Source organism: Homo sapiens, chromosome 7, assembly GCF_000001405.40.
Source record: "Homo sapiens chromosome 7, GRCh38.p14 Primary Assembly".
Classification (NCBI taxonomy): domain Eukaryota; kingdom Metazoa; phylum Chordata; class Mammalia; order Primates; family Hominidae; genus Homo; species Homo sapiens.
Window position 1 is genome coordinate 119,207,919 of NC_000007.14, and position 3,809 is coordinate 119,211,727.

The 3,809-nt window shown below is 38.7% G+C and overlaps 2 annotated features.

The window, feature by feature from the left end:
* Positions 2,578–3,078: an enhancer, noted in NCBI's record as "H3K27ac hESC enhancer chr7:118850550-118851050 (GRCh37/hg19 assembly coordinates)". NCBI's record gives its function as "activates a minimal SCP1, AML or CMV promoter by ChIP-STARR-seq in primed H9 embryonic stem cells {active_cell/tissue: H9 hESC(primed)}" and the evidence as "EXISTENCE:reporter gene assay evidence [ECO:0000049][PMID:30033119]".
* Positions 3,079–3,579: an enhancer, noted in NCBI's record as "H3K27ac hESC enhancer chr7:118851051-118851551 (GRCh37/hg19 assembly coordinates)". NCBI's record gives its function as "activates a minimal SCP1, AML or CMV promoter by ChIP-STARR-seq in primed H9 embryonic stem cells {active_cell/tissue: H9 hESC(primed)}" and the evidence as "EXISTENCE:reporter gene assay evidence [ECO:0000049][PMID:30033119]".

Consider the following 3,809-nt stretch of genomic DNA (forward strand, 5'->3'; position numbering starts at 1 on the left):
GACTCAGATATCCAAAGCAAAACTAAGCATAAAGCAGGCTGGAGACATCACATTACCTGATATAAAATTGTACTACAAAGTTACAGTAACCAAAACCGCATTGTGCTGGTACAAAAATAGATATATAGATCAATGGAACAGAATAGAGAAACCAGAAATAGGGCCACATACTTATAGTCAGCTGAAGTTTGAACAAAGTCAACAAGAACACACACTGGGGAAAGGACAACATTTTCAATAATGATGCTGGGAAAAATGGATTTCTATATGCAGAAAAATAAAATGAGGCCTCTGTCTTTCATCATATACAACAATCAACTAAGATGTATTTTAAATAATTAAATATATGACCTAAGACTATAAATTACCAGAAGAAATCTAGAGAAAATTATTTTGAACATTGGTCCAGGCAAGGAATACAGAACCAAGACCTCAAATGCACAGGCAATGAAAACAAAAATAAATGGAATTTAATTAAACTAAAAATCTTTTGTGCAGCAAATAAATAATCAACAGGGTAAAGAGACAATCCTCAGAATGGGAAAAAATACTTGCAAACTATTCATCCAATAGAAGACTAATATCCAGAATATGCAAGGATCTCATACAAGTCAACAACAACAACAACAAAAGAATCCCATTAAAAAATGGTCTAAGGACACGGTAGGAATTTGTTTTTAAAAAAAGTCACAAAAGTCCGACAAGAATATGAAAAAAAGTTTGTATCATCACTAATCATTAGTGAAATAGAAATTAAAACCACAGTGAAATATCATCTTACCCAGTAAGAATGGCTATTCTTAAACAGAAAAAATAACAGTGGTTAGTGAGGACGTGGAGAAAAGAAAGCACTTATACACTGTTAGTGGAAGAGTAAATTAGTACAACATCTATGGAAAATTTTTGGAGATTTTGCAAAGAACTAAAAATAGAACTAAATTCAATCAAGCAATCACACAACTAGCTATCTATCTAAAGGAAAATAAATCATTATATAAAAAGACAACTGCATCTACATAGTTATTGTAGGACTATTCACAATTGCGAAGATATGGAACCAATCTAAGTGCCCATCAAATGATGAGTGGGCAAAGGATACACAATGAAACACTATTCAGCCATAAAAATGAAATTATGTCTTTTGCAGCAACATAGATGAAACTGGAAGTCATTATTTTAATTGAAATACACACAGAGACAACACGTTATCACTTATAATTGAGAGCTTAGTAATGTGTACACATACAGGTAGTATGTGAAATAACAGACAGTGGAGACTTAGAAGAGGGTGGGTGATGAGAAATTACTTAATGTCTATAATGTATGCTAATCGCTGATAGACACTAAAAGCCCCGACTTCAATGCTTTGCAATATATCAATATAACAAAATAATACTTGTACCTCATAAAGTTATACAAATCAAATAAAATTTTAAATAAGATTACTGAGATCAACATAATGGAGCTTTACTCCTAAATTTTCTTCTAGTAGTTTTAAAGTTTCTGGTCTTACATTCAAGTCTTGCAATTGATTTTGAGTTGACTTTTTTATATGGCGTGAAGTAAGGTCCGATTTTATTCTTTTGCATGTAGATGTCCAGTTATTTCACATTTTTGAACATTCTGTCCTTTTCCCGTGCATCCTTGGCACTTTTACAAAAATTAATTGACCATTGATGTGTAGCTTTATCTTTTGGCTTTATATTCTGTTCTATTGGTTAATGTGTCTGTTTTTATTGGGGGGAAGAGGATATTTTTTGCCAATACCATGTTGTTTTGATTATAATTGCTTTGTAATACATTTTGAAATCAATGATATGGTTTGACTATGTTCCTACCCAAGTCTCATCTTGAACTGTAGTTCCAATAATCTCCACGTGTTCTGTAAAGGACCCAGTGGGAGGTAATTGGATAATAGGGGTGGATACCTCTATGCTGGTCTCATGATAGTGAGTTCTCATGCAATCTGATGTTTTTATAAGAGGATTTCCCCCCATTCCCTTGGCACTTCTCATTGCTGCTGCTATGTAAAGAAGGACGTGTTTGCTTACCCTTCTGCCAAGAGTGTAAGTTTCCTGAGGCCTCCCCAGTCATGCTGAACTGTGGTCAATTAAACCTCTTTCCTTTATAAATTACCCAGTCTCTGGTATGTCTTTAATAGCAGCATCAGAATGAACTAATATAGTAAATTGGCACCATGTGTGGGGGTGCTGTTGTAAAGATACCCAAAAATGTGAAGTGATTTTGGAAGTGGGTAATAGGCAGAGGTAGGAACAGTTTGGAGGGCTCAGAAGAAGACGTGAAAATGTGGGAAAGGTTGGAATTTCCTAGAGACTTGTTGAATGGCTTTGACCAAAATGCTGATATTAATATGGACAATAAGTCCAGGGTGAGGTAGTCTCAGATGGAGGTGAGGAACTTGTTGGGAACTGGAGCAAAGGTGACTCTTGTTATGCTTTAGCAAAGAGACTGTCAGCATTTAGCCCCTGCCCTAGAGAGGTGTGGAACTGTAAACTTGAGAGATGATTTAAGGTACCTGGCAGAAGAAATTTCTATGTTTTCTCGTTGTTCAATTCCAAAGCATTCAAGAGCTGACAGAACATAAAAGTTTGGAAAATTTGCAGCCTGATGATGCAATAGAAAAGAAAAACCCATTTTCTAAGGATAAATTCAAGCCTGCTGCAGAAATTTGCATAAGTAATGAGGAGGCAAATATTAATTGCCAAGACAATGGGGAAAATGTCTCCAGGGAATGTCAGAGACCTTCACAGCAGCCCTTCCCATCACAAGCCTCAAGGCCTTGGAGAAAAAACATGGTTTCCTGGGCTGGGTCCAGGCACTCCTGCTGTGTGCAGCCTGGAGAATTGGTGTCCTGTGTCCTAGCTAGTCCAGCTATGGCTAAAAAGGGTCAAGTTACAGCTGGGGCTATGGCTTCAGAGGGTGTAAGCCCCAAGCCTTGGCAGCTTCCACTTGGTGTTTGTCCTGTGGGTACAGAGAAGAGAAGAATTGAGGCTTGAGAACCTCCACCTAGATTTCAAAGGATGGATGGGAAGGCCTGGATGTCCAAGCAGGGGTATGCTGCAAAAGGCAGAACACTCTTTTGAGAACTTCTACTAGGGCAGTGCGAAAGGGAAATTTGGCTTTGGACCCCCACAGAGTGTCCCCACTGGGACACTGCCAGCTGTGAGAAAAGGGCCAGCCTCCTCCAGACTCCAGAACGGTAGATCCACTGTCAGCTTGCACCATGAGTCGGGAAAAGCTGCAGACAGTCAATGTCAGCCATGAAAGCAGCCATGAGAGGAGTTGTACCCTGCAAAACTACATGGTCAGAGCTGCCCAAAGTCCTAGGAGCCCACCTCTTGCATCAGCATGTCCTGGATGTGAGATATGGAGTCAATGGAGATCATTTTGGAACTTAAGGTTTAATGACTGCCCTATTGGATTTTGGACTTGCATGGGGCCTGTAGCTCCTTTATTTTGGCCAATTTCTCCCATTTGGAATGGGTGTATTCACCCAATGCCTGTATTCTCATTGTGTCTGGAAAGTAACTAACTTGCTTTTGATTTTACAGGCTCATAGGCAGAAATGACCTACTTTTCTCAGATGAGACTTTGGATTTGGACTTTTGAGTTAATGCTGGAATGAGCTAAGACTTTGGGGGACTGTTGGAAGGGCATGATTGTGTTTTAAATTGTGAGGACATAAGATTTCAAAGGGTCCGAGGGCAGAATGATATAGTATAGCTGTGTCCCCTCCAAAATCTCATCTTGAACTGTGGTTCTCCACATATTGTGGGAGAGACCTGGTG